Genomic DNA, 25133 nt, shown 5'->3' with positions numbered 1-25133 from the left:
AGAAGATGCTTGATATTATTTCAATTTTTTTGAATGTTTTAAAACTTGTTTTGTGACCTAACATATGGTCTATCCTTTACAATTATTCCTGTGCTGAGGTGAAGAATGTGTATTCTGTAGTTATTGGATGAAATGTTCTGTAAATATCTGTTAGGTCCATTTGTTCTATAGAGCAGATTAAGTTCAATGTTTCTTTGTTGATTTTCTGTCTGGGAGATCTGTCCAGTGCTGAAAGTGAATGTAAGTCTCCAGTTATTATTGTATTGAGATCTAACTCTCCTTAGCTGTAATAATATTTGCTTTATATATCTGGGTGCTCCAGTGTTGGGTGCATATATTTACAATTGTTATATCCTCTTGCTGAATTGACCCCTTTATCATTATATAATGACCTTTTTTGTCTCTTCTTACAGTTTTTGTCTTGAAATCCATTTGTCTTATATAAGTATTGCTACCCCTGCTCTTTTTTAGTTTCCTTTGTTTTGAATCTATGGGTATCTTTATAGGTGAGGTGTGTTTCTTGTAGGCAGTGGATCACTGGGTTTAATTTTTTTTCCCATTCATTCATCCACTCTATGTCTTCTGATTGGAAAGTTTAGTCCATTTACATTCAATGTTATTATTGGTAAGTAGGGACTTAACTCCTGTCATTTTGTTATTTGTTTTCTGGTTGTTTTGTGGTATTCTTATCTTTCTTTTCTTTCTTCATGTCTTCCTTTAAGTGAAGGTGATTTTCTCTTGGTGGTATGCTTTCATTTCTTGCTTTTTTATTTTCTGTGTATCTGTGGTATGATTTTCTATTTAAAGTTACCATGAGGCTTGCAAATAGTATCTTATTACCCATTATTTTAAGCTGATGATAACATAACACTGATTGTATAAACAAACACATAAAAACTATTAACAACTCTTCATCCCTCACTTTTTAACTTCTTAGTGTTTCTCTTTATGTCTTATTATACTATCTGTGTCTTGAAAAGCTGTAGTAGTTATTGTTTTTGGTGGGTTCATTATTTATTCTTTCTACTTAAAACAAGAAAGAACCCCCATTCTGGTTTATATTATTCTGTGTTTTTCTGTGTACTTACTATTACCAGCGTGTTTTGTACTTTAAGATGATTTTTTTCTTGCTCATTGATATCCTTCTCTTTCAGATTGAAGAACTCCCTTTAGCATTTCTTGTAGGACAGGTTTGGAGCTGATGAAATCCCTCAGCTTTTATTTATCTGGGAGGGTCTTTATTTCTCCTTCATGTTGGAAGGATATTTTTCCCAGATATACTATTCTAGGGTAAAAACTTTTTCCTTCAGCACTTTAAATATGTCATGTTACTCTCTCCTGGTCTGTAAGGTTTCCACTGAAAAGTCTGCTGCCAGATGTATTGAATCTCCATTGTATGTTATTTGTTTATTTTCCCTTGCTTCTTTTAGGATCCTTTCTTTATTCTTGACCTTTGGGAGTTTGATTATTAAATACCTTGAGGTAGTGTTTGGGTTAAATCTGCTTGGGGTTCTATAACCTTCTTGTACTTAAATGTTGATATATTTCTCTAGGTTTGGGAAGTTCTCTGATATTGTCTCTTTGAATAAACTTTCTACCTTTATCTCTTTCTCTATCTCCTCTTTTAGGCCTATAACTCTTAGATTTGCCTTTTGAGGCTATTTTCTAGATCTTAAAAATGCACTCCATTGTATTTTGTTCTTTTTTTCTTTTGTCCTCTCTGACTGTGTATTTTCAAATAGCCTGTTTTCAAGCTCACTGATTCTTTCTTCTGCTTGATCAATTCTGCTATTAAGAGACTCTAATGCATTCTTCAGTATGTCAATTGCATTTTTCCACTCTAGAATTTCTGCTTGACTCTTTTTAATTATTTCAATCTCTTTGTTAAATTTATCTGCGAGAATTCTGCATGCCTTCTTTGTGTTACCATGAATTTCCTTGTTTCCTCAAAACAGCTATTTTGAATTCTCTGTCTGAAAGGTCACATGTTTCTCTTTCTCCAGAATTGTTTTCTGGTGCCTTATTCAGTTCATTTGGTGAGGTCATGTTTTCCTGATGATATTGATGCTGGTAGATGTCCATCAGTGTTTGGGCATTGAAGAATTAGGTATTTATTGTAATCTTTGCAGTCTGGGCTTGTTTGTGCCCATCTTTCTTGAGAAGGCTTTCCAAGTATTTGAAGGGACTTGGGCCCCAAGCCCAATAATACTGTGGATTTTGCAGACTTGTACAGGTATTGCCTTGCTGGTTTTGGATAAGATCTGGTAGAATTCTCTGGATTAGCAGGCAGAGACTCTTGTTATTTTCCCTTACTTTCTCCCAAGCAAACAACAGTCTCTATCTGTGCTGAGTTACCTGGTACTGGGGGTATAGTGATGCAAGGACCCCTGTGGCCATAAGCACTGGGACTACGCTGGGTCAGAACACAAGCCACCACAGCTCTGGCTCTCACCCAGGGCCCAGTGTAACCACTACCAGGCTACTTCCTATGTTCACTGAAGGACCTAGGGCTCTTGATCAGCAGGTGGTGAAGCCCACCACGTTTGTGCCCTTCCCTTTAGGGTGGAAACTTTCCTCAGGCCCTGGGTTGGGGGTGGGCCCAGAGATGCTGCCTGGGAGCTACAGATAGGAGTAAAAATCCTTAGAAATTTACCTGATGTTGTATTCCAGTGCGGCTAAGCTGGCACTCGAACCACAACACAAAGTCCTTCCTTTTTCCATAGGTAGAGAAGCCTCTCCCTGTGGCCACTACCACCACCAACCCACAGCAGGTTTTGCCAGGCCACCACCAATGTTCACTTAAAGCCGAAAAGCTCTTCGGTCATCTGAAGAGGTAGTGAATGCTGCATGGCTTAGGACTCACTCTTCAGGGAAATGGGCTCCCTTTTGGCCCAGGTCAGGTCTAGAAATGCTTTCCAAGAGCCTAGGCCTGGACCTGGGGACCCTAAGAACCCACTTGTTGCTCTACCCAACTGTGGCCAAGCTCGTACCTAAGGTACAAGACAAAGTCCCCTTTACTTTACCATCTGTGTTTCTCAAACAGAGAGGATCTTTCACCATAGCCGCCACAGTTGGGAATGTGCTGGGTTACATCTGTATTCAGCATGTAACCCAAGGCCTGGGTATTGCTGCTGGTTATTCAGGGCCCAAGGGTTCTTTAGTCAGCAGGTGATGAATCCTGTCAGGAGTGCTTTCTTCCCTTCAAGGCAGTAGGTTCCCTTTTGGTCCTGGGTAAGTTTAGAAATGTCATCTGTGAGCTAGGGTCTGGAATGGGGTCCTTGCAACTCTGCCTGATGCCCTATCCTGCTGTGGCTCAGCTGGTATCCAAGACCCAAGACAAAGTCCTCTTTACTCTTATCTCTCCTCTTCTTGCTTAAGGAAGCAGAAGGAAGAAGTCACTTTTGTTGCTGTGAGCTGCACTGCCTAGGGATGGGGAAGGGGTGGCTCAAGCATTACCTTTGCTGCCATGACTGGTGTCTCCCTAGGTGACTTGCCACCCTAGTCCACTGGCTCTGAGTTCAGCTTAGTACTAGGAGTTGCAGTCCTTGTGTCCTAGATTCTCTTTCAAGTTTACCCAGGACCCCAGAGTATTTTGGTCTGCAGTGGTGAGGCTTGCTCAGAAACTCAGATTCCGACCACTGAGATAGGCAATTCCTCTCTGGCTAGGTCTGGTCCAAATGTTCCTTGTTCAGACATTGGCTGAGCCCAGAAGAGCTTTACTCTCTACTGTGATAGGGCAACACTGAGTTCGATGTAAAGTCCCACAGTCACTGTGTTTTCCCCTCCCCAGGTGCACAGACTCCTCGCAATGCAAGGCCACTGCCAGGGAATGCTGGAGGGGTGATGCTAGCAATTGAAGATTGTCTCTCCTACCCTCTTCAATGCCTCTTTCAGCAATATGAAGTTAAAACCAGGTATGGTGATTGCTTGTCAGATTTTTAGTTCTTGTGATGGCACTTTTCCGTGTGCAGATAACCATTAAAATTTGGTGTTCCAGTTGGGGTAAAGGGCAAATGGTATAGGCTTCTATTCTGCCATCTTGCTCTGCCAGCTAGAATACTGCTTTTTAAGGTATGATCTGATAATTAGTTTTGTCAGAATCACCTGAGGTGCTTGTTCCAAATACTCCAAACCAGATTAGAATCTTGGGTTTGTAGTAATGGTACTTAGGAATCTCCATTTTAAACAAGGTTTGGAAATGATTTTCATGTGCACTAGTTTGTGAACCGTTAGTCTTGAACATGATGCAAACCATGTTTCTAATATTCCATAATATTTCACTGAATATTCAGAAAGATGGCTCTGTTTTTATGTGTCTACAAGCTCTCAGGTGAGGTAGATGAATGTCATAGCTGAGGAAGCTATAGGTTTGATATGGCTAGTGGAGAAACAGTTGTAAGTCCTATGATAAAGTGTTGGGTGACCTTGGGTGTAGTATTTAGCTCTCTCAAGCCTCAGTTTTTCCTGTGTTAAATAGATCTGTTATGTTGAATAAGTGAAATGTTATTTATCAGTATTGGCATCTAATACATGTTCAATAAATCATAGTTGTAATAAAGAGAAGCATGGCGCAAAATTAGTTTTTGAACTTTAAAAAATAATATTTTAAGACTATGCCTAATATCTTAGAATAGGAATTGGTATATTTTGGAGGAAGATTGATAGAATGTATATGAAAAGTTTGAATAATGAAAAATAGCTGTATAAAAGATGACTTGCATTTGACTCCAGGTATATGTTATAACTCATGTTTCAATAATCCCTTGTTTAATTTTTATACCCACTTGAAATTTAATTATATTCTACAACAAAATTAAGTAAAATTGGTTTTAAGTTTCTTTAAAATCGATAGGTATAACAAAGTGAATTGACATTTTCAATAAGAAGTGAACTGACATTGCATTAATCTCAGATGATAAAAATGTTTTCAGCATTGAAAACAGGCATGGTTATGATTGATCACTGGTTTACCACCTCTTATTAATTAATACATTTTGAAGGAATATTTTTATGTATACAAAATCTCGTTAATATTTGGAATATAGTTGCAAACATGAGTTTATTTTAACGAAAAGATCAGGATAATCAAGACAAATGTTGAAAAAAATTTCAAAAGATTTTTCTCTTGTATTTCATTGAGAATAAGGCTTATGTAAAAGCAGATTGTTTGAATCTCCGTTTCTAGTCAATCCAGTCCCCGTCTTGACTGCCAGTTCTGCTGCATTCTAAATAAGCGACTGTGAGCAATTCTCATTGCTTTTCTGAGTCTCACTTCCTTCTGTATAAAAGTGGGAAAAATAATAGCACCTACATCATAGCACTGTTAAAAGGATTAAATAAATTACTTCATAGAAAGCTTTTAGAACGCTGTCTAAAGTTTAAGACCTTATAAATAGCAGTTATTAGCTATTATTTTCATCAACTTTCTACCTAACATGTTCTAGAAATCACCGCTATTTTTAGTGGCCTCTTTAGTCTGTAAATAAATGTAACATAAATAATAACACTGTTAGGCACTTACTGAGTTAAACATTGTATAACTCCATGAGCAGGTACTGTTATTACCAGTTTACAGAGAGGGAAACTGAAGAACAGAAAGATGAAGTCAATGGGCAGTCATAATTGCCAAAATTTGAACCCAGGTTTCGTGACTTGAGAGCTTGTTTCCTTTTTTTTTTTTTTGAGTAATCTCATTAATTTTATTCAATAGCAAATTTGAAGTACATATTTGTGGTAATATGAATACATTTTGCTATATTTAATAATGCTTATTTATTTATTTATTTTTATTATACTTAAGTTCTGGGGTACATGTGCAGAATGTGCAGGTTTGTTACATAGGTATACACGTGCCATGGTGGTTTGCTGCACCCATCAACCCGTCATCTACATTAGGTATTTCTCCTAATGCTATCCCTCCCCTAGCCCCCCACCCTCCAACAGGCCCCAGTGTGTGATGTTCCCCTCCCTGTGTTCATGGGTTCTCGTTGCTCAACTACCACTTATGAGTGAGAATATGTGGGGTTTGGTTTTCTGTTCCTGTGTTAGTTTGCTGAGAACGATGGTTTCCAGCTTCATCCATGCCCCTGCAAAGGACATGAACTCATTCTTTTTTATGGCTGCATAGTATTCCATGGTGTATATGTGCCACATTTTCTTTATCCGGTCTATCATTGATGGGCATTTGGGTTGGTTCCAAGTCTTTGCTATTGTGAATAGTGCTGCAGTAAACATACATGTGCATGTGTCTTTATAGTAGAATGATTTATAATCACTTGGGTATATATGTAGTAATGGGATTGCTGGGTCAAATGGTATTTCTGGTTCCTTGAGGAATCACCACACTGTCTTCCACAATGGTTTCACACCAACAGTGTGAAAGTGTTCCTATTTCTCCATATCATTGCCAGCATCTGTTGTTTCCTGACTTTTTAATGATCGCCGTTCTAACTGGCATGAGATGGTATCTCATTGTGGCTTTGATTAGCATTTCTCTGATGACTAGTGATGATGAGCTTTTTTCACATGTTTGTTGGCCGCATAAATGTCTTCTTTTGAGAAGTGTCTGTTCATATCCTTCACCCACTTTTTGATGGGATTGTTTGCTTTTTTCATGTAAATTTGTTTAAGTTCTTTGTAGATTCTGGATATTAGCCTTTTGTCAGCCAGATAGATTGCAAAAATTTTCTCCCATTCTGTAGTTTGCCTGTTAAATCTGATGATAGTTTCTTTTGCTGTGCAGAAGCTCTTTAGTTTAATTAGCTCCCATTTGTCAATTTTGGCTTTTGTTGCCATTGCTTTTGGTGTTTTAGTCATGAAGGCCTTGCCCATGCCTATGTCCTGAATGGTATTGCCTAGGTTTTCTTCTAGAGTTTTTATGGTTTTAGGTCTTACGTTTAAGTCTTTTATCCATCTTGAGTTAATTTTGTATAAGGTGTAAGGAAGGTGTATAGTTTCAGTTTTCTGCATATGGCTAGCCAGTTTTCCCAACATCATTGATTAAATAGGGAATCCTTTCCATACTGCTTGTTTTTTATCAGGTTGTCAAAAATCAGATGGTTGTAGATGTGTGGTGTTATTTTTGAGAACTTTGTTCTGTTCCATTTGTCTATATATCTATTTTGGTACCAGTACCATGCTGTTTTGGTTACTGTAGCCTGGTAGTATAGTTTCAAGTCAGGTAGTGTGATCCCTCCAGCTTTGTTCTTTTTGCTTAGGATTGTCTTGGCTACACAGGCTCTTTTTTGGTTCCACATGAAATTTAAAGTATTTTTTCTCATTCTGTGAAGAAAGTCAATAATAGCTTGATGGAGATAGCACTGAATCTATAAATTACTTTGGGCAGTATGGCCATTTTCACAATATTAATTCTTCCTATCCATGAGCATGGAGTGTTCTTCCATTTGTTTGTGTCCTCTCTTATTTCCTTGAGCAGTGATTTGTTTGAAGAGGTCCTTCACATCCCTTGTAAGTTGGATTCGTAGGTATTTATTCTCTTTGTGGCAATTGTGAATGGGAGTTCACTCATGATTTGGCTCTCTGTTTGTCCATTATTGGTGTACAGGAATGCTTGTGATTTTTGCGCATTGCTTTTGTATCCTGAGACTTTGCTGAAGTTGCTTATCAGCTCAAGGAGATTTGGGGCTGAGATGATGGAGTTTTCTAAATATAAAATAATATCATCTGCAAAGAGAGACAATTTGACTTCCTCTTTTCCTATTTGAATATCCTTTATTTCTTTCTCTTGCCTGATTGCCCTGGCCGGAACTTCCAATACTATGTTGAATAGGAGTGGTGAGAGAGGGGATCCTTGTCTTGTGCCAGTGTTCAAAGGGAATGCTTCCAGTTTTTGCCCATTCAGTATGATATTGGCTGTGGGTTTGTTATAAATAGCTCTTATTATTTTGAGATACATTCCATCAATACCTATTTTATTGAGAGTTTTTAGCATGAAGGGGTGTTGAATTTTATCAAAGGTCTTTTCTGCATCTATTGAGATAATTATGTGGTTTTCGTCATTGGTTCTGTTTATGTGATGGATTACGTTTATTGATTTGTGTATGTGGAATCAGCCTTGCATCCCAGGGATGCAGCTGGCTTGATAGCAGTGGATAAACCTTTTGATGTGCTGCTGGATTCAGTTTGCCAGTATTTTATTGAGGATTTTTGCATCAATGTTGATCAGTGATATTGGCCTCAAATTTTCTTTTTTTCTTCTGTCTCTGCCAGGTTTTGGTATTAGGATGATGCTGGCTTCATAAATGAGTTACGGAGGAGTCCCTTTTTTTCTATCATTTGGAATAGTTTCAGAGGGAATGGTACCAGCTCTTCTTTTTACCTCTGTTAGAATTCAGCTGTGAATCCGTCTGGTCCTAGGCTTTTTTTTTTTTTTTTTTTCGTTGATAAGCTATTAATTACTGCCTCAATTTCAGAACTTGTTATTGGTCTATTTAGGGATTTGACTTCTTCCTGGTTTAGTCTTGGGAAAGTGTATGTGTCCAGGAATTTATCAATTTGTTTAATATTTTCTGGTTTATTTGCATAGAGGTGTTATATTATTCTCTGATGGTAGTTTGTATTTCTGTGGGATCAGTGGTGATCTCCCCTTTATCATTTTTTATTGTGTCTATTTGATTCTTCTCTCTTTTCTTCTTCATTAGTCTTGCTAGCAGTCCATCTATTTTGTTAATCTTTTCAAAAAACCAGCTCCTGGATTCATTGATTTTTTGAAGGGTTTTTTATGTCTCTGTCTCCCTCATTTCTGCTCTGATCTTGGTTATTTCTTGTCTTCTTCTAGCTTTTGAATTTGTTTGCTATTGCTTCTCTAGCTTTTTAAATTGTGATGTTAGTTAGGTTGTCAATTTTAGATCCTTCCTGCTTTCTCCTGTGGACATTTAGTGCTATAAATTTTCCTCTAAACACTGCTTTAGCTGTGTTGCAGAGATTCTGGTACATCATGTCTTTGTTCTCATTGCTGTCAAAGAACTTATTTATTTTGCCTTAATTTTGTTATTTACCCAGTAGTCATTCAGGAGCAGGTTGTTCAGTTTCCATGTAGTTGTGTGGTTTTGAGTGAGTTTCTTAACGCTGAGTTCTAATTTGATTGCACTGTGGTCTGAGAGACGGTTTGTTATGATTTCCGTTCTTTTGCATTTGCTGAGGAGTGTTTTACTTCCAATTATGTGGTCAATTTTAGGCTAAGTGCAATGTGGTGCTGAAAATAATGTATATTCTGTTGATTTGCTGTGGAGAGTTCTGTAGGTGTCTATTAGGTCTGCTTGGTCCAGAGCCGAGTTTAAGTCCTGAATGTCCTTGTTAATTTTCTGTGTCATTAATCTGTCTAGTATTGACAGTGGCGTGTTAAAGTCTCCCACTATTATTGTGTGGGGGTCTAAGTCTCTTTGTAGGTCTCTAAGACCTCGCTTTATGATTCTGGGTGCTGCTGTATTGGGTGCATATATATTTAGGATAGTTAGCTCTTCTTGTTGCATTGATCCCTTTACCATTATGTAATGCCCTTCTTTGTCTTTTTTGATCTTCATTGGTTTAAAGTCTGTTTTATCAGAGACTAGGATTGCAACCCCTGCTTTTTTTGTTTCCATTTGCTTGGTAAATCTTCCTCCATCCCTTTATTTTGAGCCTATGTGTGTCTTTGCACAAGATGGATCTCCTAAATATAGCACACCAGTGGGTCTTAACCCTTTATCCAATTTGCCAGTCTGTGTCTTTTAATTGGGCATTCAGCCTGTTTTCATTTAAGGTAAATATTGTTATGTGTGATATTGATCCTGTTATTATGATGCTAGCTGGTTATTTTGCCCATTAGTTGATGCAGTTTCTTTTTTTTTATTATTATTATTATCTTCATGGCACCAATGGTCTTTACAATTTGGTATGTTTTTGCAGAGGCTGGTACTGGTTTTTCCTCGCATGTTTAATGTTTCCTTCAGGAGCTCTTATAAGGCAAGCCTGGTGGTGCCAAAATCTCTCAGCATTTGCTTGTCTGTAAAGGATTTTATTTCTCCTTCGCTTATGAAGCTTAGTTTGGCTGGATATGAAAATCTGGGTTGAAAATTCTTTTCTTTGGGAATGTTGAATATTACCCCCACTCTCTTCTGGCTTATAGGGTTTCTGCAGAGAGATTTGCTGTTAGTCTGATGGGCTTCCCTTTGTGGGTAACCCAACCTTTCTTTCTTGCTGCCCTTAACATTTTTTTTCTTCATTTCAACCTTGGTGAATCAGATGATTTTGTGTCTTGGAGTTGCTCTTCTCGAGGAGTATCTTTGTACTGTTCTCTGTATTTCCTGAATTTGAATGTTGGCCTGTCTTACTAGGTTGGGGGATTTCTCCTGGATAATATCCTGAAGAGTGTTTTCCAACTTGGTTCCATTCTCCCCATCACTTTCAGGTACACAAATCAAACGTAGGTTTGGTCTTTTCACATAGTCCCATATTTCTTGGAGGCTTTGTTCATTCCCTTTCATTATTTTTTCTCTAATCTTTTCTCATGCTTTATTTCATTAAGTTGATCTTCAATCTCTGATATCCTTTCTTCTGCTTTATTGATTCAGCTATTGATACTTTTGTATGCTTCACGAAGTTCTCATGCTGTGTTTTTCAGCTCCATCAGGTCATTTATGTTATTCTCTAAACTGGTTATTCTAGTTAGCAATTCCTCTAGCCTTTTTTCAAGGTTCTTAGCTTCCTTGCATTGAGTTAGAAAATGCTTCTTTAGCTCAGAGGAGTTTGTTATTACCCACCTTCTGAAACGTACTTCTGTGAATTCATTAAACTAATTCTCCATCCAGTTTTGTTCCCTTGCTGGTGAGGTGTTGTGTTGTGATCCCTTGGAGGAGAAGAGGTATTCCAGTTTTTGGAATTTTCAGGCTTTTTATGCTGGTTTTTCCTCATCTTTATGGATTTATCTTCCTTTGGTTTTTGATGTTGGTGACCTTTGGACGGGGTTTCTGTGTGGACGTCCTTTTTGTTGATGTTGATGCTATTTCTTTCTGTTCGTTAGTTTTTCTTCTAACAGTCGGGCACCTCTGCTACAGGTCTGCTGGAGTTTGCTGTGGATCTATTCCAGACCCTGTTTGCCTGGGTATCACCAGCAGAGGCTGCAGAACAGCAAAGATTGCTGCTTGTTCCTTCCTCTGGAAGCTTCATCCCAGAGGGGCACCCACCAGATGCCAGCTGGAGGAGAACTCATGTTTCTTATCACCATACTTCGATATTGCTGAGGGAAACACTTGCCATTTTATCAAGGATTATCAGCACAGGGATTGTGAATCCTAAACATTTATTTGGAGTTAAAGATTGGCTTATCAAAGGAAATCTTTCATAAGATTATTCTCAGTAGCTGAAATAATAAGTTAATTTTTATTTCAATAATATGCATATCCTTCTATTTTTTCACTCTTTCACTCCCTCTTCTTCTCCCTCTCCTTCTCCCCAACTCCTTTCCTGCACCACAATCCTAAATGCTTATCTATCCATCCATAAAAGGGAATTTTTGGTGTCTCTTTATAAAGTGAAGGGTGTTTATAATGGCACCCGGGTCAAGCTTTATTGTACGTTGTTTCATTTATTTCTATAAAATAGCTTTTTAAAATATCTTCTATCAAAAGTAAAATTTCACACTGAAGAATCTAAATTATTAAAGGCTGATTTACCATCTTTCATCAAGAAAAATTGATTTTCAGAACATAACTTTAAGGGTGTATTCAGGTGCATTCATTTTTTTTTCCTGACAGAGTGCAAAGATTAATTTACCATCACATCAATAAGAAGGAGTGATTATGACAAACTCCTGAGTTGAGGATAGTCATTAAAAGTAAGCAAGAGATATTTCACAGGTCAAGTATTTTGTCTGTGAGCCTTACTCTGGCTATTAGTTTAAAAATGCTGCTCTCCAAGGCAATTTAATTCTTACAGACAGATCTTCCCTTTTATAAGGTTTTATTTTTTTAAGAGATTGGATGGGGAGGGGTGATTAGCATTAACTCTTTTCAACATAATAGACTACAAATTTGTGATTTCATGGCCTAATGAGTTGATGTACCTTCTTAAATCTTCAGAGTGTTCTTGGGTCAACATTATACATTTATTGCATAATAGAGCTAAAGTACTGAATTGGTCTGAAACACTAGAGGCTATGTTTCTTTAAGTGAATTTTTCTTAAAGCAAAATTTGTTTATAGAACAGTAAATGTTTACTTTTGGCTATGGAGAACCATGGTATTATGATCCTGTAAATATTAACTGATAGTTTTTGATGGCTGCAGGAAACCTCTGCTTTTATAGAGTATTCTTGAAAGCAACTTTAGGACCAGATTTAATATCCTAGAAGTTATGCTGGAACTAAACTTTACCAGCTTGCTTTTGGGATTGACTATATAGGCAAATATAGTAACACTTCCAGTATCACTTAAAGGTTAATAGGTTTCCCCACGTGGCTGTTAGAGGCAGCTAAAGGCTTCTTTCAGCAGAAACATTCTTTCAAATATTTATCATCTAGCATGGGCCACGCACCATGCCAAGGTTTGGGGACACAAAGACAAATTATGGCCTCTCTCATTTTTTAAAAGAGCTCATGCCAAAAGGGAGATTTAATACATATATAATTGTGACACAAATTGTGTAAGTTTTGTTAGAGATATATAGAAAATATTGTGAGAATAGACGTCAGAAAATTATTTGCTTTGTTGAAAAGAGTTGGAGAATTGTTCACAGTAGAGCCATGCCTTAGAGATGAGTTACCTTTCCAGATAGAAAAAAGAGAGGATTCTAGGGAGTGAAAACAGCATGTGTTGAATAAAGTTCAAGCCCCTTAAAGGCCTGACCTTTAGGCCTACTTATTTATATTCAGCTTGTGCTGTTGCCATTAGTTGTTTATGTTAGCCTTCTCCTTTCCAATTTTTTTTTGTATATGACTTGGTAGCTGACACCATACATTGGCTGTTTTTTTTCTCCCTCCCCATTATGGATAGTCTTTTACACATTTATGCATCTCTTTCATTGATTGCTTATGTTACTGGGAGTTTGCTGGTATACCAAATCTGCTATCCTATTTTATCTTCTGTAGCAGATGCTCTAGTTATTTAGAGTTGGTTAATTCTTGGAATTGCTTTGAATGTCATGTAAATATTGTTATTATTAGTTTGTTAAAATGATTCAACCAGTCTTTTAGGTGTGGAGTCTATTGCGCTTTTTCAAATTAGTAATCAAGTTGTTTCTGGAAAGTGAGAGTCAGTGCTGCTATGTATCTCAACCACAACTTGTATCTAGGACAAATACCTTACCAGGTCCCTAAGACTATGTTTCTCTCTGAGATGTTGGATAATTCAGACTTCTCAAAGATGAAGGCAGCACAGCCAAGTGGTAAGATTTGACAGACTTGGAGTCAAATCCTGGATCTTTCACTACTAACTGTGTAACGGTGGAGAAATTATTTAACCTCTCTGAGCCTTTGTTCTCCATATGTAAAATGGGACAATATTTATTCACAAATATTTGTTGACTGCTTCCTATGTGCTAGGCATTGTTGTTCTGGTGACATTCTAAGGATTAGAAGATTAAAGGAGATGATGTGTGGCACAAAGTTGATGCTCAGCATTAGCAAGTCATAGTTCCCCTCATCTTTACCGTAATTCACTTTATTTCATTAGCATCATTTTCTACGGATGAATTAGTTTTTATTGGGTCTTTCTTGGTCCCTTTACAAACTCTGGGCTCCAGACAATGGAGATGTTCACATGGCCAGCTTGGTGTTTAAAAAACAAAAGAATTTGAATAGTTTTAAGCAGGACATATTCCCTAGTTAGTCACATGTTCATCCTTCCCTGTTATATCACCCCAGGCTCCTGGATTTCAGCCTTAGCTCTATATCAGAATCACCTGGGGGCAATCATATATAAAGATTCCCAGGCTGCATCTCCAACCACCCACATTAGAAGCTTCAGGAGTGGAACCCAGGAATTAGTATTATTAGTATTATTTAAAGTTCTTCAATGTGCAGCAAAGGCTGAGAACCATTTGGGGGCCCTTTCATCTATTTAGATGAATGGTGTAGCCCCTGAAGACAATAAATATCAATCCTGAGAGATGGTCCTATGACCTTGACTTCTAGGAAGGCCTCCTTGTTTTATGTAGCCTTTAGGCTCCAGCCCGTATCCTGTCATCATTCAGTTATGAAGCTCTCTTTTGCTAATGGAGGCCAGTCATTCTCAGGTTCCTGTCTGCCTCTGAATATACTCCCTGAATTGGCAGAATTTCACCATGGGTAGATATGCAGTATTATCCTGATACTTGTTTTCTGAGATCCTAGGATTTTCCCCATAAACTGTGAAACCATCTCTACTCTGACTCATTCCCTAGAGGTTGGGGCTATAGATCACACTGCCCTCTGTGGCTGACCTACCTTCATTTAGGTAGCTGCATTCAGAATTCAGATGCAAGCTGACCCAAATCTTTCTAGTTAGCTACTTAGCTATTTTCCCCAGAATGCTATTTCTCTTGTGCTCCTGTTAGAAGTGCTGACCCCCAAATGTAGAAACATTAATATGAGAGGAAATAACAACAGATGTGTTGTTCTGAGCTAGAAATAGGGAGAAGGGGTGAGTGGCAGCCAAGACAGTCAATGATGATTTTCAGAAGAGTTAAGAGTAAACGTAAGTAATTCCCATCTGTGTCTGACCTAATTTTTCTATCTCTCATAAAGTGTTTAAACACATATTTTGGGTCTCTTAGCTATATAATTTCAGTTGTTTAATAGCCTTAATAAACCCTTTTGTATATGTTTGCAGTAACCTATTTGATCTGTGAAATTGAATGCCCAAGTAGATCATCTGGGGGAACTGCAAACACTTGCCTCTCTTTTGTTGTTTCTCATGAACTGTAGTGATTAGACACTAAGAGAGTGACCAATACAAACTATGTCTGAAATCACAATTACCATTTGAACTCTTGCCATGCATTTAGGGTTATGTAAACAGCTTGGTGGGCTTCACAGAAGGCAACTCTTAAGCTGCTTCCATGAAATGGTGATGCATAATCCCTGAACAAACATCAATATTAATAATCCTGTAACAGTTTTATGATAGTGGTAATAAAAATTAAGGCAGATTCCTGGAATCATTTCTCTCCCACTCTGTGATGAATGCATCTTTTATCGTGAGATTTCATTGTTCAGGGTCTTTGGTAATCGTGGAGCAAATGGCCATGGTGGGTTTTTGAATCTCACTATTATTGATGTGCTTTATTTAATTCAGCTTTTCAATTTCTCCTTTTAGCCTGAAGTTACACATTAATTACTCTTGTGTTTGTCATAGAGTCATTGACCTAACTTGAGATAGTCAGAGTATTTTAAATTTAGCAAATTCTTCCCCAGCCTATATTAATCTAATTTGTTCAACTCTCAACTGGTAAGTGTAACCTGAATCTCACTTCTTTTGTTGTTGCAGTCTGAATTCAGTAGTCTTCTTCTGGATAACTATTTCCTTTTGCCTCACCCACTCCTTTAACAGCTTTTTAATCTTTGTTGTTGAAGATCTTGCTTCCCTTCTGAGCTGACCTATTGCTAAATACACTTGACAAGACCACAGGAAAATGTCACCTTTCTCCCTTACTCTCCTCCAAAGAGGACCTGATCTATATTCCTGTTGATCTACAAAGAATGTTCACTAAAACATGACCTTGAGTAGGTCACTTGTGTTCACAAAGAGAGCTCCAGTGACTCCTTATTTGTTTTCTTTTCAGATTAGTGTTGGGTCTGAAGTTCCAAATCCTGCTGCCTCTGTGAAGTCTTTCTGCTCATGCTAGAAGCAATATCACCTCTTCTAGAATTGTAAAGTGCCATTTTCCATACCACTTATAATATACTGTCTTGTAGATGTTTTTCTGTCGTCTGTATTTCATCCCTCTAATAGATGATAAATTTCTAGAGGATGCCTCCCACAGAAAAAGTGCTCAATAAATATCTGTCATTGGTGAAAACAGATTATAGATGATATTTTGTTGGAAGATTGGAGGCAAAGTCTCAAAGGTAAACCTATAATTTTAGGCTCATTCCCTCCCCCACAATATTTGTTGAATACTTAACAAATATTGTTATTTTTTTTGGTATTTGACAGGGATTTTCTCTTTCAATATTCTAAGCCCTATGAGATTAGCGCTATTAATATTTATGGTTGGGGAAACAGAGGCATAGAAAGTTTAAGTAATTTATCCAAGGTCACATTGCCAAAAAAAATAGGTAGTTTAGACTTGAAACCAGAGAGAACTGATTCTACAACTGGTGCCTATAAAGTTTGCACATCTTACTTCACCCCATCTCATTTGGACATAGTTTGGAATGGACTTAGGAGGTCTGAGTATCAAGAATCTGTGGCTCATGCAATATCAAATCCCTTAGACATATTTCAGTCATTGCCAAAACATGATTTCAATTATCAAGTTTTCAGTGAAGTTCTGATAGTGCTAATCTTTACCCATCAAGAAAGAGGAGAGGTGCCAAGCCCCCTGAAGAGCTATTCCAGTTGGAGCCTGATGTGAAGGTGGTGGTGCGTATAATTCCACCTCATTAGTCAAGCCCGAAGTGTTGTAGATATGCCACATTGCATTGAATCTATGATTCCATGGAAGGCAAGATGTACTATCTTTATTATATTATTAAGAAAGAGAAAAATAACTGCCAAAATAAACATGCTACAATGATTTTTCATTACTTGGGCTTTTAAAAATGTTATACTTACTGAAAGCACTCTTTTAGTCTTGTTTAGGCATGCAAACAATATGAATTTCTTAAGGTTTTATATCTGAAATCTGACTATCCAATGTCTATGTTTTCCAGATAATATCATCCTCTATGCCACTGAGAGTATTAGTAAGGCAGTATTTCTGAAAGAGCACTCCACCACTACCTCTGGGATTTTCTTGCAAGCTACTGATACCATCTTTGCAAGAATGGAGGCAAACATTCAGGCTACCAGAATTTAATCTCTGTAATTTCCTTGCCAACAGCCATAATAAATGCTTCTTGTTTTCAGGTGAGGTGAAATGTGAAAAAGTGTTCATCAGAATTGGTGAAATATGGCAATTACAACTTTATTTAAAACAATGCACGTCACTTTTTGAAAATATTTGAAAACTTCTGCTATAGTCAAAAGAACCTTGGTCTTAAGGAATCAGAGGACCTGGGTTGAATACTAGTTCTCTTGACTACCTATGGCAAGTAACATAAACTGTCTTAACTTCCTCTGAGGAATAAGCAATTTACCTTGTGGGGTGATTGCAAGAATTAAAAGAAAATTTAAATTCCACAAAAGCAGAAATAATTCTATCCTGTTTGCCACGATCTTTCTATTCTCTCAAGAAGTAACAGGGACCTAGAAAGAATAAATGAAACAATGAATGAACAGTTAATACATAGCAAACTACATGTAGAACTGTCTGTGTTGGAATGTTGCCATGGTGGAAGGCAGTATGTTCTAGGAGAAAATGCAGCAAAAAATGTTTCAGTAAGGAACATTCTTTAGTCCCTCTCTCTATTTTTCCCCAGTCATTTTGTGGTTTTGGCTGCTATTGGCTTGTATCTGCTTCCCAAATGCTAGTAATTTCTTCCAATCTAAAGTTGCTTGTTTATTTTCTTGTATATTGTAAAACAAAGGCAACATAATTGCAGGCCAGAAAGCTATTTTCTCACTCTTGAATTCTTAAAAATGTCATTTGTTCTAGGTTTTTTTCGCATGTATTTATTATTGAAATATTAAGAGACACAAAAAACATGGAAAAGAAAAAAATCATTATTTCAAATTCCTAACCTAGAGAGAATAATTACTAATACTTTTTCTTACTTAATTGGCAAAATATATATTTTTTTGTAATTTGATTTTTCACTTCATATAGTTGCATATTTCTCCATATACTCCATTTAAATGTTCTTCACAAATATTGTTTATGATACATGCTCTATTATAATCTATTTAAGTAATCTAAACTTCCTGGAAATTTAGGTCATTTCCAATTTTTCACTATTTAAAATATCACAGGAATGAACATTCTTGAACATTTGTATTTATGTACATTTCTGATTTTTTAAGAATAAATTCTTGAAAGTGGATTTACAAGGCCAAAAGATATACAATTTTATTCTAATTTAGTTGAGAATATTTTAATGTAACTAAAAGATTTATCGAGAATGTGGTAAAATAAGAAGGAGGGTTTTGAAGGTGTGCCTGCCCAGAATTGCCTGGTGGGCTCTGCTAGATTCATCATCTTCCCTCTTTCTCAAGGACTTGTCTGTTGTGATATGGTTCCTGAGTGACGTTTGTCCTCACGAGGTGCTAGGACTGTCAGATGTTAGGAGTGCTAAGCCTCTTACTTATCTTTCTTTTTTCATCCAAAAAAGCTGAACGTGGTGTCCTCACTAAATGATGGATAAGTATGATGAACAGATCCCATTATTTCCTCATTCCATTCACATGATGAATGAGTTAGAAAATGAATGCAATATCTGAGCACCAGAGGATCTGATTGTCACAGTATGAAAAGCCTTTTAGTGATAACTGCATACATGCACCCATATTACTCCCAACAGAGCCAATGCAATCTAGTTCGAATGGTAGATGTACTGACTCCCATGTGGGACCATTGATGTTTTTACAAACCATTTGCAGCCCAGTATCGCTGTGTTTTGCCAAGTTGCATCCTCCCAGTGAAGTCCAAATGGAACTAGAGAGAGAGGCTCCATTTTTGCTGCAGTAGGAAATAGACAAGGGAAAGTCTGGATTACACTCCAAAATTATAATGCAAACCTGCCCCAGAAATGTGTATTATTTTTCTGAATGTGTTCCAGCTGAACCACAGGAAAAATAACAACCAAAGACCATAATGGCTCATTGGTGGATATTGTGTCCCATCTGTTGGTGGTAGTGAGAAAGGCTCTAGGCTGTCACATCCAAAAAGCTTGCCGGTAAAAAAAAAGCCAAACTCCCCTCATGGCATTTTTCTGCCTATGAACTCATTTTGGATATCGTGTATTAGGAAGAAAAGGTGTAAAAGTGGTTGAATGTTGTTATACACTTTTATGAGGGGAAGTAAAAGTTTTACACGTTGCTTGGTTCTTTCTAGTGGAGGGGATGAGATGGTTTCATAACAAGCAGCAGGCAAGGCTTTGTTGAGCCAAAGGCTTTGATTAGGATTTCTACAAAGTGCTATATTCTTTGGTTAACTCTTAAGCATTTAGTAACTCCCTCCTTAAGGAAAAGGATACACCTGATTCTGTTTATGGACCAGTGTGTTGGTCATTGATTCTTGCTCTTGCAGCTTCAGGATTCTGGCTTAAATCAGATTTAGTTTGTGGATACAAAGCTGAATTCAACACCAGCCAGGCATTAGCATGAAAACTGAGTTGCCCCCAGGAAATATCCATCTCAGACTCAATATGAAAACCTCAGTCACTGCAGAAGTGAGGCATTTGTGCCTACACAATCATGCCTATCCTTTGGATTCTGGTTCTGCCCTGACCCCTCACTGGACTCATGTCTGAATCCTGACACAGCACAAGCACTGTGAGTGAAATTAAAAGTACTATTTTAGTCTTTAAAAAGAATTAAAACATCTGGGCCACAGCAAAGGCCCAGAGCATGGGCAGAGCACTGGGGAAAATCATGGTGGGAACTCTAGAGGAACCTTGCAGTGGAGGTTTAGTGCCCAGAGGGACAGATTTACTGAGAGCACATGTGACTTACCCACTGTAGATTTTTGGAGTCCTTGGTCATGGGAGGTGGTAAGGAGCTGAGAGTGTTCAGGACAAGTAGAATCATGACCCAGTGAAATTTGAGCTATTTCTGTTAATATGACCTCATTTACACACTGGGAAATTAGAATCCTCAAATCAGCATTCAGTTTGCAAGGTACTCATGAGAATCATTTCGTTAAACAGTATTAACATTGCAGAGGCCTAATGCTACAGAGACCTGATATTAACCATACTGAGACCTAACTGTAAATGAAAATTAGGGGGACTAGTCAAACAGAACCATGCTAAGGGGCAGAAAAGGTTTGAACTTGCTATTTTTCCTCTCACAATGTATACACAGTGGGAATATGGCATTTTTGCCCCAAGCCGAATGGCAGTTTACCTCTGTCATGGGGTTGGTGGGCAAGGTGGGGGAATGTGTTCCAAAGTGTTAGGGATTTTTAACTCACATGAGGATATAAGAGGACTGGTTTTTTGGATCTCCATGTCAGTTAAAAATGCGAACTAGTTCAGAGGAACACTCTGTGGTACATGTCATGCTCCTGAGCTTGGCGTGGGGTCAGGCTACGGCTGTCACATGTAGATTTACCAAGGTCCAGGCGGTGTTCTGAGTTCTTTACGTATTATCTTATTTGATCTTCTCAGTAACCCTGTGAGTCAGGGACTACTATAACTCCATTTTAAAGATGAAGAAACTGAGACAAAGGGAGGCTAAGTAACTTACCCAAGATCCTCTGGCTGGATAAGTGGCATACCTGGAATGAAAACGTAAGCATTCTGATTCCAGAAACCATACGCTTAAGATGCTGTACAGATGCTCTTAGTGGTCATTCTCACCTTTTCGTAGAGTTCTTTCAAAGGCATGGGATCTACAAACGTGTGTGTGTGTGTGTGTGTGTGTGTGTGTGTGTATTGGTGAGGTATTGGAAGCTGTATGGTGCAACAAATAAAAATATGAGTCTGATATTTGAGGAATTTTATATTTTTTGAAGATAGTAAAAAATTGAAATAGAATTTAAGGGTATCAAGAAATGGGCATTACAAGTTCTTCAAAGTCATTAAACCTTTCCTCTTGAAGGTAAAAGCCCTGTATCCTACTCCGTGATGAAGAACAGCAGCCTGATTTAGTTTCCTACCCTTTGACAGAGTGACCCATCACTGTGTACTCCCCACTTGGCATGGAAAGGATTAACTTTGATCTGCTGAGCTGTATTTTATAAATAGAATTAATCACAGGCTGTGGGGAGATGAGGTCATCAGATTTACACCGAAGCTTTAATGCAGTGCAGACATTGAGGTCACATCTGCTCAGCTCCTGTCCAAATGGTGAAGCTTCCCTTCTGCATGAAGTTACTTGGCCTGGACTCCTCAAACAAGGGCATTATTTTTCAAACAAGGGCAATCCTTCTGCTTTCTGGTCCATTTTAGAATGAATAGAGAGCCTGTTAGAGTAAAAGATATGTTTTCATACCATTATTGAGGTCCAATCACAGTTACATTTTCTTGAATTTTCATGAATTTTTCTACTACAACTTGCTTTTCTCATTCGTAAGAGGAGGGGGAATACATTTTGCCTGTCCATTTTTGCATTCTCTTTGGGTTCCAGTACATAGACTTGGTAAGGAACTAATGAGCTACCTTAAGGCAGAGAAGCCCCATTTCTGGGGCCTCAAGAAAAAATTTAGTAGTTATGCATCTTTCATCTGCAAATATAGAGAGAGTTTCTAACTTAAGCAAGGATCCCCACATTATAAGCCATCTTTTGTATCTGAGATTTTCTTGCCAGAACACACATACACACTCATACATACCACGTGGAACTCCAATATTGATAGAAGAAATGGCTGGAGTCACTCCTGTATCTCCTCTATTCCCCACCTTTACTATTTTCTACCCTATAAGCAAGCTTAGTTCACAGCTAATCAGTAATGTGCATTTAAGATCTGGTTTCTTTCTGGAGCACATTGGACTTAGAGTATCATTCAAAGCTGGATTGATTTCAGGCCACTCAGGTTTTCAGTACCTTCTAGGGCAGAACTCAGAGAGCTTGTTTGATCTGTGATCTCCTTGAGCGCTCTCTAACCCACTTAAGCTTGTCTTAAACACAAATACATTTGAGAGGAGACCTACCATTTTGTGGCAGAAGAGGGCTGGAGGGTCAGGGAAAATCCTCTTGGAACTGCTTAGGATTGGAATAGTCTTCTCAGATCCACAGCACTCAAGATCAGGCTCCTAAAGCCTGTATAGGCAATTGCTGGACTTATTCAGAAGGGCCATAATGCCCTGCACTGCTGGAGGCATACATTCGGAGAAGTGAGTGCTCATGGGACAGCCACTGTGTGTTTTAGAGGCAGATAGAGCATCTCTGGGTCTGTTAATGTGAAGCTAGAGATGGTTTACCAGTGGCCAACTACTTCACAGTACAGTCATGCAGAAAGCACTCAAGTGTCGTGGGGTAAAGACGTCAGAAGGAATTCACAAGTGAAAATGCCAGTGAGTAGTCACAGTAAGGGCCTCAAATATACAGGAGGCTACAAACATGCAGACCCAGTCAAATAAATCTGGTGAAGGGGTGGGTTAATTTGGGTCCTTTAAGAAGCAGACTACAAGCCAGGATTCAATGTGACTGGGTTATATTAGAGTAATCACCTGTTAGAGAAAAGGCGCAGGAATCTAGGGGCGGCAGGGGAGCTGACAGACCGTGGCGCACCACGGGCAGGCAAATTGGGTGGAGGCATCACAGATAGGTGACCTAAGGAATGTCGAACAAGGCCTTTGGGGTATCTCTGAATCCAAAATTGCCTATTAGAGAAGTCCCAGGTCTCCCAGGAGTAGGCCTGCCTTAGTATCCCTATCACTTCAGTCATCCACTGGCAACAGCTCAGGAAGTATGATCTCACTATACATACGGTGATGGATTTCAGAGTGCAGCAGCTGGGGCTCTAGGCCAATTACATTTTCTGTAGAGGTCTACAAGGAGCATTCTCACAGCTGCTTCAATAAAGGACTGACTTAGTGTGTTTAAAAGCATGCCTGGAGCATAAACACCACTATCTGTATGAAGGTGGAGAAGAGAGATGCCAGTTTTCTGAGGACAGTAGAAGAGCCCTCTCCTTTAGTGAAAGAGAGCAGTCTCATCTCCTTACAGTTTCTGCTTTGAGAGTGGAAGGGAGGAGGAGGCAGCGTTTGAAATGGGAGAGAGGTAAACAACCAGCCATGGGAGGTGGAGCTTTGTCTTCATACCCATCACAGAGCCAGCAAAGAGGAATCAGCACCTTCAGCTCAGGGCCAGGTTGCAGCAATGGTAGTAAACAGCCATAATGGAGAAGACAATGGCTGGAAGAGGCGACTCCCGCAGTGGCAGCAGGGGTACAGCAGTTCTGCGGTGACCAACAATGCGGAGCAGCATCATCCCTAGGTCAAGGCAAGGAGGGCCAAAAGTAGGGGTAACTGTGGCTGGATTCCATGGATGCGAATCAGAGAAAAGCATGGATCAGGAGCTCAGGGTTCCAGCCATTTCACAGCTGCGGAGCACTCAGGGGCAGTTGGCTTTCCTAATACCTGTCATACTGCTCGTGCCAACGAAAGAAGTTTCCTTTTTCTCTTTAAGCACAAGTCAAGCATGATTAAACCAAGAAGTGACTGAAAAGGATGTGGAATACAGACTATACAGTTAGAAATAGTCTGACTTTGCAGAGCAGAAAACACTCAGTAAATACAAACAGCAGGTAAATAAGTTTCCCATCTTGGTTCAAGAAGAACATGGAGTGTGTTGAACAAGAAGAACCAACTCTTCAGAAATAAAATGCTCCTAGTCACTGGCTGGCAGTCCTTCATTATTTTTTTTTTTTTACACAGGCCCCACTGAGCCAAATAAAGGGGAACTAGACAAATTAGAGGGACCTGGGTCCCCATTCCTGGAACTTGCTAGCAGGAGGGTATCAATCAGGCTTACTAAATTAGCATTTTTCTGATAGCAATGCACAAAGCCTTTTAATGATGACTTTGGAGTCTCTGAGCTTAGGCTCTTGACTGCCTGTTCCTAAGCAACAGAAGGATTGGCAGAGAATGTGTTTTGATGTATCATTAAATAAAGGCTGTACAATGCTGAAAACTGTGGGCAGAAATTGGGATAATTGTATTTATTTTTTGGTGTATTATGTTAAAAAATAAACAAAAATCCTTTATGCCCTAGAAAATGTGCTCTCACTTGTGTTTTGTCTCTCTCTTGTTTTTGAACACTACCTTTTTTTCCGCTCCTTTTCATCCTGCAATTTAAGCACAGAATTTCTCCCTTTTTATGGATAGCATTTCAAGCATTTCTTCAGCTCTGTTTCTATTACAGAAAAATTGGATCACATATTATACTATAATGGACAAGGGGATCTGAGGGATGCTCTGGCAACCCTCCTTATTTTATTCTCACAGAAGCTATGTCAGAGAGGTGAGGGTTTACCTCGACTCAACGTGTCTTTAACTTGTAAGATTCATCATCGTTTCCTCCGTGGCACCTCTCCTGACTTCACAGAGGTACAGTGTTGTGTCATCTTGTTTGATACTCTACATTCACTACAGTCACCACTCAGTTGTCTGGATACTATATTGCAGTGGTTGTTTACTTATTCATTTCATTAGTTCCGTGGTGACTCCCTTGTGCGTTGTCTCACACCCAGAGCTTGATACGGTACCTGACTTGCAATAGGTAATAAATACACAGTGAATGAATTATCTAAGACCACATAACCAATTAGTGATGAAACTAGGACTAAGAGCTTGGTTTCCTATTTTCTAGTTGAATGTTTTTCCACGACCTACTGCAAATATTAGAGGGATATGGAGAAAATGAACACATTTGGAGGATGTGTTTTCCTGCTGCTCTTATTCAAGGCGAATGAATCTCAATGGTACAATAAAGATGATGAAATCTGATTAACTATTTCTGCTGACTACAAGCCACGTGGGCTTCAGCTCGGTCTCTCCCACGGGCTGATCCACCCCATGGCTGAGGTCCTTCATGGAGTGAGCTGGCCTCTACCTTTGATCATTCTCTTTTTCTTCATCTCATTTAACAAAATAACAAAGTATCTATTCTACAGGAGCTGAGTTAGCCTCTGGTGATTCAATAGTTAATAAAAACAGGTTTCATACTCACATGGACCTGAAATCTGAGCACATGCAGCCCCACTGGCCCTCCCACCTTTACTCCATGCGACATCCTAACTTTCAAATTCTTTAATTACAGAGATCTCCAAGATCAGGAAGAGGTCTCTAGTAAGTTCCTTCTATCCTACACATTTTTCTTCCTCATTAGTCAGACTCTGATAAAGCTTTCTCTACCCAGAAGTGATAGCTGGGTCACTCCCCCTCAAACCTTA

General features: G+C 38.6%; 1 long non-coding RNA gene across 3 annotated transcripts in view; it reads left to right on the top strand.

Annotated features, from left to right (window-relative positions):
- Nucleotides 1-25133, top strand: part of LOC105378178 (uncharacterized) — an 894025-nt gene that overhangs the window by 214318 nt on the left and 654574 nt on the right. The window contains exons 4-6 of one of the 3 annotated variants that reach the window (XR_943837.3): nucleotides 3791-3914; nucleotides 15756-15843; nucleotides 16849-24140. This is a non-coding gene — a long non-coding RNA (uncharacterized LOC105378178). Of the gene's footprint in view, nucleotides 1-3790; nucleotides 3915-15755; nucleotides 24141-25133 lie in introns of those variants that run through there. The other 2 variants (XR_007064153.1, XR_007064152.1) reach the window with 2 other exon arrangements.

This window comes from Homo sapiens, chromosome 14 (assembly GCF_000001405.40).
Source record: "Homo sapiens chromosome 14, GRCh38.p14 Primary Assembly".
NCBI classification, from domain to species: Eukaryota; Metazoa; Chordata; class Mammalia; order Primates; family Hominidae; genus Homo; species Homo sapiens.
Note: the sequence above shows the minus strand (reverse complement) of the source record. Positions and strands in the feature narration are given on the sequence as shown.